At 36.7% G+C, this 13,330-nt stretch overlaps 2 long non-coding RNA genes across 2 annotated transcripts in view, besides 1 other annotated feature; one reads left to right on the top strand and one right to left on the bottom strand.

Moving 5' to 3' along the window:
- Positions 1–13,330, top strand: part of RBBP8-AS1 (RBBP8 antisense RNA 1) — a 210,274-nt gene that overhangs the window by 99,785 nt on the left and 97,159 nt on the right. The gene's annotated exons all lie outside the window — the stretch shown is intronic.
- Positions 1–13,330, bottom strand: part of LOC124904263 (uncharacterized) — a 37,941-nt gene that overhangs the window by 2,191 nt on the left and 22,420 nt on the right. The gene's annotated exons all lie outside the window — the stretch shown is intronic.
- Positions 11,339–12,175: an enhancer, noted in NCBI's record as "OCT4-NANOG hESC enhancer chr18:20401768-20402604 (GRCh37/hg19 assembly coordinates)". NCBI's record gives its function as "activates a minimal SCP1, AML or CMV promoter by ChIP-STARR-seq in naive H9 embryonic stem cells {active_cell/tissue: H9 hESC(naive)}" and the evidence as "EXISTENCE:reporter gene assay evidence [ECO:0000049][PMID:30033119]".

Genomic DNA, 13,330 nt, shown 5'->3' with positions numbered 1-13,330 from the left:
TACCATATTTTTTTATATTCCTTAAAGAGTGTTGGGCTTTGTTCAGCAGCCATTTAAATTATTTGCATATATATGGATCATTTTTGAGAATTCTTTATAAGCTTTGTTAGAGTGATTTTAGAATAGCCTTAGTTTAAGCCTAGTTTAGTTTTGTCATTAATGTGTCACCTTTCTGGATGTCTACTGAATGCCTAGGTATTTAATAAGAACTCCCCATTCTGATGGTTAGAACACAAACATTTCCCAGCCCTTTTGTGATCAGACATTTTCAGCTTACTGTTCTCTGGTCACTTTTTCCATACCTCATGAAATTTAACTTTAGGCAAGTGTGACTTGGTATTCAGAAATAAGAGAATTCCTGTGCATATTTTCGGAAGTCTTTCTGTACACAGACCTTGTACACAAGACTTCTTTTTCGTACTTTGTTCTTCAGTTTTCCTGAATTCTGATTCTGTCTTAATTCAGAAAGACTGCTATGCTCAGCTTGATATCCTACTCTCCAAATCACAGTAAAAAGAATTGTCTTCAGACAGAAATCCAGGATGATTATAGGGCTCTCCTCATTTGTTTCCCTTTTCTTGCTGATCACAGTATTGTGCTGTCTGCCCAATAACTGAAAACAGTCATTTCATGTTTTCTTTAGGTTGTGCTTGGGTTAACCTGGTGTTGGTTACTTCATCATTTCCTGAAGCAAAAGTCAACTATGGGGCTCTTGGATATTCTTTTTGTACAAAATAGATCAAATAATATTTTTAAGGAGAAAATATAGCATGATGGTTAAGAATATACACTTGAAAATCTGACAAACTCTTCACTCTAATAGTTACTAATGAGTGGCTGGGCAAGTGAGAAAATTCTCATTTTCCTCAACCATAACAGAGGAATAATGTTATTATCTGGCCTTAGAATTATTCCAAGGATTTAATGAGGTAATGGACACTATGGGTGTAGCATAATGCCTGTCACATATAAAATGCGACATAACCATTATTATTGTGGTTTTATATTAGATTTACTTCTAAAACCATATTTCCTACTACTGCTGTGACAAATTACCACAAACTTATTGGCTTAAAACAATACAAATTTATTATCTTACAGTTCTGGAGTCAGAAGTCCAAAGGGAGTTCACTGGGTTAAAATAAATATTGTCAGGATTACATTCCTTCTAGAAAGGCATGGAGAATACATTTCCTTGCCTTTTCAGTTTATAGTGGCTGCCCCACAATTTTTGGCTTGTGTTCACCTTTCATCTTTAAAGCCAACGATGGAAGATTTGAGTCCTCACATCCCATCACTCTAATATTGTTTCTACTGTCACATCTTCTTCTCTGATTCTGACTCTCTTGCCTGTCTCTTTCACTTGAAAGGACCTTTGTTATTACATGGGCCCCTTCATATAGTCCAGGATAATCTCCCACCTCAAGGATTCTTAATTAGATCTGCAAAATTTCTTTTGCTCTGTAGGGGAATATATTAACAGGTTCTATATGTGCTTGGTGTGTTAGAAGCAAAGAAAAAGAAAAAAGAAAAAAACAGGTTCTATGGAATAGGATATGGATGTCTTTGTCTACCACATTATTGTATAAAGCCTTCTTGGATATTTCCATTCTTCTTTCCCTGTCATTAAATCACCCATTAAGTAACTATATGCAAAGACAGTCTCTTACAGAAAGGTTACACATGGTCGAAAAAGGAAAAACTCTAGAAGAAAATTCAGATTAGTAAAGAAGAAAGTATCCTGAATTTGGGTTCTAGTCCCAGATTTGTTTGTCAATAGCTGTTTATCTCTGAGAAAATAACTTCCCTTTCTGAATTTCTGTTTTCTTACAGGGGAAAATAACTAAGAAACCTCCTAGATACCTCTGTCTCTATGGTTCGATAAATCTAATATATCTTGCAGTTTGACTAAAGTAAGATATGAAATGTGCTCATTGTAGAGTATCCCGAGCCTCCTGTAGGTCTCTAAGGAGACACAGGTTTTTGGATAAAGGAGACCTCCCCTTGCTCTTGCTACTACCGGAAAAGAACTATGCAAATATAATTATACATGAAGTAATATAACCCAAACATAACAAAAGAGACTATTGGAGGAAGTCCCAGGACTCAGAGAGCAAAGATCAGAAAAGAGACAAAAGGCTGGCACAGGTTCAGTGCTCAGGAGGGATATCTTCTAGCAATGTTCCAAAGGGATACAACCAAGGTGAGGGTAAAAGCCCCAGCATCAAACACTTGCAAAGCCCTCCTCTGAGCTTATGCAATGGAAAAACAGACAGACAGTGACTCAGAGCCTTAGCTGTGTGTGGGAGCCACTGAAATAAACTGTCAAAGGGGAAAGGGGGATTGCAACAGCATCCATCAGTGGTACTATGCAATAATCAAATGAGGTATAGGGTAGAGGCAGTGGTTATAACCAAAAGTATTGTGAGTGATCAAGGAAGTGCTTGCAGGTTACTAATCAGCACGTGGGTCACTGTGCATAAAAGGATATGTGAGAAAATGGTTCCTCTCCTGGGACTTTGTTGGCTGTCCAGGTGCCACACTGAGAAACAGATTTTGTTGTGGCAAAAGGGCCCAAAAAGTCTTCATTCTTGATCTGACCCATCACCTGAGAATTTTCACCATGTTTCTGGCTTAAAGCTGATAGTGGGTAACGGGTTGCATGTTGGAGGAAACAGGGAGCATGCCTGTCACATGCCATAGTAGGGAGCTTAATGAGGAGGTCAAACTCACTTTTTTTCAGAATTCTGTTAAGACTGTGAGGAAATATAGACAAATAGCAATGCAAGGCAATGGATCATCAGAAATGGGACGTTATTTGGCTGGAATAATTTGAATAGCATTGCTGAGGACAAATGTCCCTGTGAAAGGAGAGGAAAATCTTTTACCCTTATGCTAAAGACACAACAGGTTATAGAAAAAGGGTTTGATGTTTAATTCTACTGTAAGATTCCAAAAAATTTTCCTTACCAGCTTTTCGGTTAATTTGAATAGCATTGCTGAGGACAAATGTCCCTGTGAGAGGAGAGGAAAATCTTTTACCCTCATGCTAAAGACACAACAGGTTATAGAAAAAGGGTTTCATGTTTAATTCTACTATAAGATTCCAAAAAATTTTCCTTACCAACTTTTCGGTAAGTATGCCATATATTATGTCAAATTCCCAGTACATGTGAGGATAATAATTTTCTTTCAGGTTGTTCTAACCTTTAGCACATGGGAATTGAATCACTAGATTATATAGGTTATATTGGATAACTAGGTTATATAGCAGGGTAGCAGTGGCAGTAATGCTAGAGGAAGTGGTGGTTGCCCCAAGATTAAGCTCCTAGGGGCAGTTGTACAAGCCATAATGTTTGGTGCTTTTTGGTAGCACCCATGACTACTTCACAAGATGAGTTTGGCAGCATGACTTTTGGGCTTTGTTCTTGACTGTGTAGCTCCAAGCCTTCCTTTCCATACCTCCTTAATACCTCCTTGATTTTGTAAGCTGCCTAATGTCCTTTTTTTTTTTTTATCTTTTCTAATGTCTTTTAAATTATTTTTACTTTGGCTCTGCTAGACTTTTATTTCTGCTGCTTGCAACCGAGAACATAATAGATACTGTTGGGGATCTTGTTAAAAAACAGATTTCAAGGCCTAGACATAATCATTCAGAATATCTGACATTGGGACCCAGGAATCTAATTTTTAAAGATCTAGAATCAGTCAAATATTTTTTTTCTGTAGCAGGTGACGAAATCCTCAGTTCAAACCAGTTTAAGCAAAAAACAATGTTATTGACTTACATAATTAAAAAGTCTAGGGAGTAGACTAAATTAAGGCAGTACTAAATTCAGAGCTCAAGCAGTACCTTCAGAATTTGGTTTCTCTATTTCCTGGTTCTATCTTCTGTAGTGTTTTCTTTAGTCTCAGATTTTACGTGGTAGTCAGATGGTGGCAGGGACTCCAGACATCCTCTCAGCTTGTGTTCCAGGAGACAAGAACACACTTGTCTTTGTCCTAAAAGGTGTGACTCTGTTGGAGGTCCATACCTGAAACCATTGCTCTAGCTAAGGGAATCCCAAGATTAGTTGGTCTGAGTCTCCTGCCGTCTCTGGAGCCCAGATTATTTCAATAGACTTTTTATTTTTTCATTACAATGACAGTCTCAACTTTTTGTTAGCCATCTTTCCTGAGGGCTACTGAACATCCTCATGCTTGCTGTTAAGTTGTATACTCATTTATACACTTATTCATAAATAGATTGAACACTTACTAGGCATTGTGCTAGGCAAAGGGGATTTAAATGGAATAAAACGTGGTCCTTATTTTAAAAGAACATAGCTTCTAGTGGGAGAGACATATAAGCAAACCAGTATTTAAATCCATTTGATTTATTATAGAACATCTATTGAATGCTTGCTACTACTATTCTAGTGCTGGGGATACACCAGTGAATAAAATAATGTACTTGTCCTGATATTGCTTACATTATAAGGGAACAAGAGAAAATAAATCAATAAAGATATAAATAATATAGGAAAACATGATAAGTATAATGGGACATATTGTAGCATAAAGAAAGTATGATGAGTAAAGAGAAGACTGATGATGCAAAAAGAGAAAGTGGATGATTTCAGGAGCAAAGTCCTTAAGTAGAAGAAAGGGGACAAGATCTGGTGCACAACTGGAGTTGGATAGGGACTGAAACAATTGTTCTTATCTTTTAGGAGGTAAGAATTAAAAAAAAAAACTATGAAAGCCTCTTCATAGCATCCATTTATTAAATATTTTTAAGAGCCTGTTATGTGCCAGGTACTGTTCTAGTTTCTGAGGATATGCCAGAGAACAAAACAAACAAGATTCCTGTTCTCATGGGGAAGACAATAAATAAGTTTAAATATATACATATATAATTTCTTTTTTTTTATTATACTTTAAGTTTTAGGGTACATGTGCACAACGTGCAGGTTGGTTACATATATATACATGTGCCATGTTGGTGTGCTGCACCCATTAACTCGTCATTTAACATTAGGTATATCTCCTAATGCTATCCCTCCCGCCTCCCCCCACCCCACAACAGGCCTCGGTGTGTGATGTTCCCCTTCCTGTGTTCATGTGTTCTCATTGTTCAATTCCACCTATGAGTGAGAACATGCGGTGTTTGGTTTTTTGTCCTTGCGATAGTTTGCTGAGAATGATGGTTTCCAGCTTCATCCATGTCCCTACAAAGACATGAACTCATCATTTTTTATGGCTGCATAGTATTCCATGGTGTATATGTGCCACATTTTCTTAATCCAGTCTATCACTGTTGGACATTTGGGTTGGTTCCAAGTCTTTGCTATTGTGAATAGTGCTGCAATAAACATACGTGTGCATGTGTCTTTATAGCAGCATGATTTATAATCCTTTGGGTATATACCCAGTAATGGGATGGCTGGGTCAAACGGTATTTCTAGTTCTAGATCCCTGATAATTGCCATGAAGAAAAACAAAACAGGGTAAGAAACTGATGAGGAAGAAAGACTTCTGTGAGATGTGATTTTGACTAGATGTTATTTAAAGCCATGACTCTAGATGAGATCACCTAGGGAGGAAAGCAAATAAAGAAGAGAAATCTGAGGACTCAGCTCTTGGGTATTTCACCTTTTCCATTTCAGTAAGAATAGAAAGACCCAGTGAATAAGACTGAGAAGGAGGTAGCTGGTGAGATAAGAAATAAAACAGGGAAATATATGTTGTGGAAGCCAACAATAACCCAAAAATAAGTGATTCAATAAAATGAAGTAATCAACTATGTCTCATGCTGCTGAGAGGATGAGTAAGATGAAAATTAAAAATTGTTTCTTGAATTTGGCAAGAAGGAGATCTTTACCAATGAAAAGATTGGTTTCAGTGGAATCAGGGTACAAGAGTTAGACTAGAGTGTGTTCCACAAATAATGGGAGATGAAAGGATAAAGAGAGTGATTATGGAAAACTAAGAGAATTACTGTCAGTTGGGGAACAAGGAAATTGGGAGAGGAAGTGGTCAGATGGAGTCAAGGAGAGAATGCCCCTGCAACAAATACTTAAACATGAGGAAGCAGCTTTGGAATTGGGCAACAGGTAGAGACTGGAAGAGTTTTGAGGTGCACATAAGGGCGATTCTGGTAAGGGCTCAGAAAGAAAATAGGAAAGCTGGAGATAAAGTTTTTGTTTTCTTAGAGAATACATAAATAATCATAAACTGTTGATAGAAATGTGGACATTAAAGGCCATTCTGGTGAGGTCTCAGGAGAAGTGAGGAACATGATATTGGAAACTAGAGGAAAGGTAATCCTTGTTATAGTGTGGCAAAAATTTCAATTAATTGTGTTTATGTGCTAGTGTTTTGTGGAAGGTAGAACATGTAAGCAATGAAATTGGATACTTAGCTGAGGAGATTTCTAAGCAAAGTGTGGAAAAAGTGGCTTGGTTCCTCCTGACTACTGATAGTAAACTATGAGAAGACAGAGATGAATTAAAGAAGGAATTGTTAAGCAATTCCAGAAGCAGAACTTGCAGACTGGAAAATTCTCAACTTATCCATATTGCAAAAAAAGAGAAACAAGTATGTGTTGCGTAAGCCATCCAGTCTGTGGTATTTTGTTATAGCAGCCTGAGCAGACTAAGACATATTGGTAGCTAGCAGCACTTGGAGAAGTGCAACTTGCAGCATGACATGCTGGCTTTTCTCGCTGTGGATTCGGTTCAGGGTTTTGCTCCAAATCAAAATGATCTGGGAACTGGTTCTTCAAAAGATTGAGTCTCTCACTTGGCCTTCTCCAGGTAATTAATTGTCAAGGTAGTTTATCCTCATTTCCAGAGGGGAGGAAGTTCTGTGAAAAAGGGGATATAGCCTGAGTGAAAGTCGACTTGGCCTGGAAATGACCACCATCTCCATCTGACTCAGAAAGGAGAATGTGGTGTATCTTGCATTCCTACCTTGAAGGGAAGTTTTTTTAAAGCATGGAGATGTGGAAATAGGCAAGTAATTCAAGGCCTTGGGGTAAGGCAGAGGTGCCAAGGCTACCCAGAGGTGGGAGTTTATAGGAGGCGGAAAGACATCCCGAGGACAAGTTTATACAAGAACTGTTCAGGGAAGGACATAAAAGGAAGTGAGGCAAGAAGCCTCAAGATTAACTTGGCATCTTGCAAGTCTTTTTGAAAAAATCCCCAACGGGGTTGTCAAAAAGCCTTCCTGTGTTTTCCTCAGATGCTTGTACTTGCCTCAAGCCTGCTTCCTTGCTGGATGTGCAACTTGAACCAGTCCTTAGATACTCAACCTTGGCAGTATTTAAAGCAAATCATTTCTTGCTTAGCACTTTTCCCTGGGTAGGAGGGAGGACTCTTATGAGCGGGTGTTGGCATGGTTAATGTAAAGCTATGTTCTTCCAGGTAATATTTTGAGGAGAAAAGCAGAATGATGTCATTCCTGCAGGCATGTCCCCCATCGCCAACACACACACACACACACACCCCTACATTGAGGTCCTGTTGAATAACTGACAGACTAAATGTTCAATTCTCTATTTCACTTTTCTATTGAGATATATAAGGCTTCAAAATAAAGTGATACTTTTCAGAGAAAGGTGTGGGTTAGTAAATCTACTGATTGATTGTTCTTTAATTACTTTTTAAGTTTCCCACTAGAGCAGCTATAGATCCTACCTCTCTTTAATACTTCTTTTATTAAAAAAGCATTAATAGATTCATGCTTCCAAAATCTGCAAGAGGTTGTGCTTTTGCTAAAAGATGAGTATTTTTTAGCCTTTATGAGTATCTGTAAAATCTTTAACAAAGATAGGTGTGTCTCAATGGCTAGACTCCAAAGATGAAGCTAGAAACAGTATGACTATAAATGTAGTTTTTGCCAGTGTGCCAACATTTTGTCAAATATAGGTTGTTATTATCATTTGGAGGTATTTACTATTAATATGCCTGGCCTGGCATACATACCTCAGTTTGATGAAGAGCAACAAAGTTTGTTAATGCTTTCTCTAACAAATGTTATCTAGATAGTCTTATAGTAGGAAAGGCATCTAAACTTAGTATAAGAAATAATGCCTATTAAAGCAAATTTAAACTAGGAATTTTTGGGTAATATTGTAGTGTCAAGAAGAATGATGTGCTTGCAGAGTTGCTTCTTTCCATCAAATTGACAGGTTCTACTTGAACTAATAAGATACTGTTGGATGTCATTGAGGTTAATACAAAGTAAACTCCAGAGAACTGATAAGGTTGTGTTACTTGTACAAGAATGCCTGTAATCCCAGTACTTTGGGAGGCCAAGGTGGGCAGATCACCTGAGGTCAGGAGTTCGAGACCAGCCTGGCTAACATGGTGAAACCCCGTTTCTACTAAAAATACAAAAAATTAGCCGGGCGTGGTGGCGCGTGCCTGTAATCCCAGCTACTCAGGAGGCTGAGGCAGGAGAATTGCTTGAACTCGGGAGGTGGAGGTTGCAGTGAGCCAAGATGGCACCATTGCACTCTGGCTTGGGCAACAAGAGTAAAACTCTGTCTCAAAAAAAAAAAAAAAAAAAAAAAAGAAATCTACTACTTGTAGACATGATTTTTGTGGAAAATATATCATCAGCAAAATAAAGACTATTCTTAGTAAGTGCTCTGATTTTCTTAATTCACGGTTCTCAAAATGTGGTCTCTGGACCAGAAGCATCAGCTTCACTTAGGAACTTGTTAGAAATGAGGATTATCAGGTCCCTGTTGAACAGAAACTCTAGGCCTGGGGCTCAACAATCTGTATTTTAACTAGTTCTTAACTAGCGTGATGCATGCTAAGTTTGGAAGCCACTGACTGGAACCCAAATCAGTACTGGGGCTAACAGTGCTTTTCAGTTTTGTAATTACCTAGAAGTCTTTATGTTGGGAGATCCTGACACATAGAATGTTATTTATTGGTCATATTTTCTATAGACAAAATGTTTTGTCTGGATAGGATAGGCAACTGATGATAATAATTTTCATTAATTAACTCATTCAACAAATATTATTTGAATGCTTACAATGTAGGCACTAGGCAAACAAAAGTGAACAAGAGAGAAAAGAGTTCATCTTTGTAAGCTACCATTCTGGTCTGAATGTATATTTTGATGTTAATTTAACACAGTGGCTCAAATTGTCTAGTATTAGATCATAGGGGAAAAAGTTTCTATAATAATACTCTGTGCTTATGGGTGAATTGCCCACTTTTTAGAGCAAATGAATTCTTTCTAGGTTTGACCTGATCATATGACAGTGTTGTATCACATTGAATTAACACAGCCAGTGAAAAGTAACAGTTCAATTAGTTGTTTCATTAATCCCAAATTACTGGATTTTACTCTACTAAATTGACAAAACCAACTAGTAACATTGGAATTATGTCAGTTTAGCATAAGGCTGTACTTATGTGGAAGATTATGTCTGGAGAAAAAACACTGGCGGATGAAAAGAACATTTGGAGCATAAATGATCCAGTTTGGCTATTGCTTGATTTCACTAGTTTTTTTTCATTGCTCCAATTTTTTTTGGTAATATACATAGCCTCCCTATTTGAGAAGAGATTAACCATGTTAACAATAAAAGATGATATAAAGAAAATTTAGGACCAATGTCTAGCTTTATAAAATTTATTTGGTTGCTAGAGAATAAGTGACAATTCTAGTTTTCATCCAATTTAGTGGTTTTATTGGAGGTGAATATGAAATAGAACATACCTTAAGTTCTCTCTACCTTTCTTGAATGTATTAGTATACATGGTAGGGGAATAACAATCCTAAAAAAGAAGCCACTTTATTAAAGCAAACTTTAATAAAGAATCTGAACATTTTTATTCATATGAAGGCACTAAATCTTTCCATTTCTGTCACCATGAATATTTTTTAAAGTAGTTATTAAGCACCAGTTGGCATATGAGGTTTTAATGAATACATTGTATGTTAACCAGTCGCTGTACCTTCTTCTAAAGAGGCTTCCTTTCCCATGAACTAGTCGAAGATGAATGATAGTCTTTTAAAGAAAAATATCGGCTTAATCTCTGGCTACGCCCAGGGAAATCAGAAACATTTGTCTCAGAATTTAGGCCACCCAGTTCAGTGCATGTCTTGTCTAAAAGTGGTTCAACTTCAAATGTTTCAGTCCTGTCTTATGCATCAATATTTATACTTCATTCATTTCTCAAAATTTGCTGATTAAAAGAGAATGGGGTTAAAGATTAGTGGTCTGGCTCTAGCCTTTCATCTTTGGTATCAGGATACTGGGTTTCTCCAGGTTTGATAGTTTGTGAATGTAGGTCAAACCATCAAAATGTATTAAGTTGAGCTGTATTAAATTGTCATTTTTGTAGGTAAAAAATGGCCAAGTATTGAGGCTATGCCATTTGATTAAGCCTAACATTTTCTGTCAAGAACTAACAAAAGCAAGGCATATACTCTTTCATCCTTTCCTTCATTCTCTAAGGAAGAGGCATTTTTAGTTTATATGTTAGTTTGCTTCTCTTTCTCTGTAAAGCTACATTCTCCTATTGATTCAATCATTCAAAAATCATTCTTTTTTAGAGGTTGGGGATGCAATCGTGAACAAGATACACACCATACCCACCTCTTGATACTTACAGTCTAGTTTCTAGAGAAGTAAAAAGGCAACTTTGTTATGGCAGAATGTGTTAAAGAAGTTCAAGGTCCTGTGAGAGTACTTAGGAGGGGGATACTTAACTTGAAACTGGGAATCCAAGAAAGTTTCCTAGAAGAAGGAACTTCTAAATTAAGAGTGGAAAGATGGTTAGGACTTAGCCAGGCCAATGGGAGGAGTGAGAGTGATTAAAGTAGATGGAATAACATGCAAAGCTGAAAGAGAACCTGATTATTTTTAGTGAACTGTAAGTAGTTTATCTTGACCGGAACATATATGTGAAACAGAAAATGAAATTGGAGAAGTATCAAGAGACTGTAACCGAGAAGGGTCATTTATGCCAGGTTAAGGTGTTTGGAGGCTATCTCATAGGCAATGGCCAGTTATTGAAAGATTTTAAGGGGTACTGGGTATGGCATGATCAGATTTGAATTTCAGTAGAACCACTTTAGAAAATTAGTTTGAGACTATTGCAGTAAAACTGGAAATAGAAGATAGTTACTTGAGATAGGCAATGGCAGTGGTGATAGAGAGTAGCTAAGATAATTTTATTAGGAGTTAAAATCATTAGGCCTGATGGTTAACTATGAGAAGAAAAACAAGGAGTTAAAGATAACCCCCAAGTATCTGACTTGAACAACCGGGTAGTTTCTTTTTAGAGAAGCAGAAAACTGAAGAGGAGGAGCAGGTTGGGAATAGAAGATTATGAGTTCAGTTTAGGACTTGACCAAAGTGTCCAATAAATAGATACACTGGGGAGACACTAGGTAATGGAGCTATAAATTAGAAGCTGTGTATAGATGTAATTTAAGCCAGAAGAGTAGATAGATTCAAACACTGAGAGTTTATAGAATGAGTCAAGATTCTAGCATAATCCTTATAGAACAGAAAATTTAAGGGAAAAGCAGAGGAAGAAAACTCCACAAAAGATGCTGAGAAGTAATTAGAGAGGTAGAAGGAAAACCAGAGGGTGTGTTGTAATGGAAGCCAAGGGAAGAGTGTTTAGCGGAAGGAGTGATTAGCCACAACAAATGCTGCCAAGGGTACAAGTGAGACTGAAGTTCATTGTATTTAACAATAAGGAAGTCATTGGTGACCCGCTGAGAGCAGTTTTTGCTGGAATAGGGGGGTCAGAAACAAATTGAAATGGTTTAGGAGTGAGTCAGAATTGAGCAAGTGGAGATCTTTAAGAAGTCGGGCTTTGAAGGAGAAAAAGGAATATGACAGTGAAAGACTAGAAAGAAACTTCTCTAGAAAAAAATATAATCAAAATGAAAAAACATTCTTGAGTGTTTTGTATATAGAAGGATTTAGTAAGAACATGACAGGTATAACAAGCTCTCAAATAGCAGAGTGAAATGAAAGAGAATTCACAGAGCTGAAAAAAAAACAGAAGACCAACACCATTATAGAACTAATTTATATGGTAATGAACAGATTAGACACGGCTTAAAACAGAATTACTGATGTGGAAGAAAGACTTAAGAGAATCAGTGCAAAAAATACATTAAAATAATTAGACAAGGGATAATATAGAAGTGAAAAGGCTGGTATGTCAGAAAGATATTTGGTATCACTAAAGTAGAAAACAGCACAGAAAATGTAATAAAACACATGATATAGAAATGTATTACATGCATATATATGCATATATATTACTTATATATATTCTGTATAGCCAAATTCAATTAAGGGAAGAAAATATAACCAAACGGTATAATAACCAGCCAAATTGTAATTCGTACATAACGGTAACAGAAAGTTATTCCTAAACATTCAATAACTCAGTGAATATGGCACATATGAAAGCTTATTGGAGAAAAAAGACGATTTGATAAAATACCGATAACCAAAGAATAAATTGGCTGGGCATGGTGGCTCATGCCTGTAATCCCAGCACTTTGGGAGGCCAAGGCAGGCGGGTTACCTGAGGTCAGGAGTTCAAGACCAGCCTGGCCAACATGGTGAAACCCCGTCTCTACAAAAATACAAAAATTAGCCTGGCATGATGGTGGGCGCCTGTAATCCCAGCTACTTGGGAGGCCAAAGTGGGAGAATCACTTGAACCCAGGAGGCGGAGGTTGCAGTGAGCCGAGATCACGCCATTGCACTCCAGCCTGGGTGACAGAGTGAGACTCCGTCTCAAAAAAAAAAAAAAAAAAAAAAAAAGAATAAATTAAAAATATAGAGCTATGGAATGGAAAAGACATTACAAAAGAATAGGTGGAGATTATTGGCTTCATTTAGATATTATCTAAGACTTAACAGTTGTAGGAATTATGGCTATAGAAGCAAATGTAAATGTTATAAAGCCTGAAATATAAAAATAAAAACTAACCAAAATGAGTATGTGGGAAGAAGTGAAAGCTTGCTAATTTTCTTAACTTGTTTAGGAAAGAGTCAATTGATAATGTCTATATTAAACATATCATTATTTAATAATTGAAACTTTTTGTTCTATAATTTTTTCTGAATCTTAGAGAGATATTTTAGAAAACAAAATATTCTATGGTGATAAAAATGTTTAGCTGAACCCAAACAATTATTTTAATGCATTTCAGTTTTTTTTCTTTTAAAGTCAATAATACTTATATTTAGTGCTTTTTATGACAATGTAGCATTCATGTGATTCTAGTTTATTAAACTTTAATTTATTTGCCTATATAGCTATCATTTATCTAGCTAATTCAC

The sequence above is a fragment of the Homo sapiens genome, chromosome 18 (assembly GCF_000001405.40).
Source record: "Homo sapiens chromosome 18, GRCh38.p14 Primary Assembly".
NCBI classification, from domain to species: Eukaryota; Metazoa; Chordata; class Mammalia; order Primates; family Hominidae; genus Homo; species Homo sapiens.
Note: the sequence above shows the minus strand (reverse complement) of the source record. Positions and strands in the feature narration are given on the sequence as shown.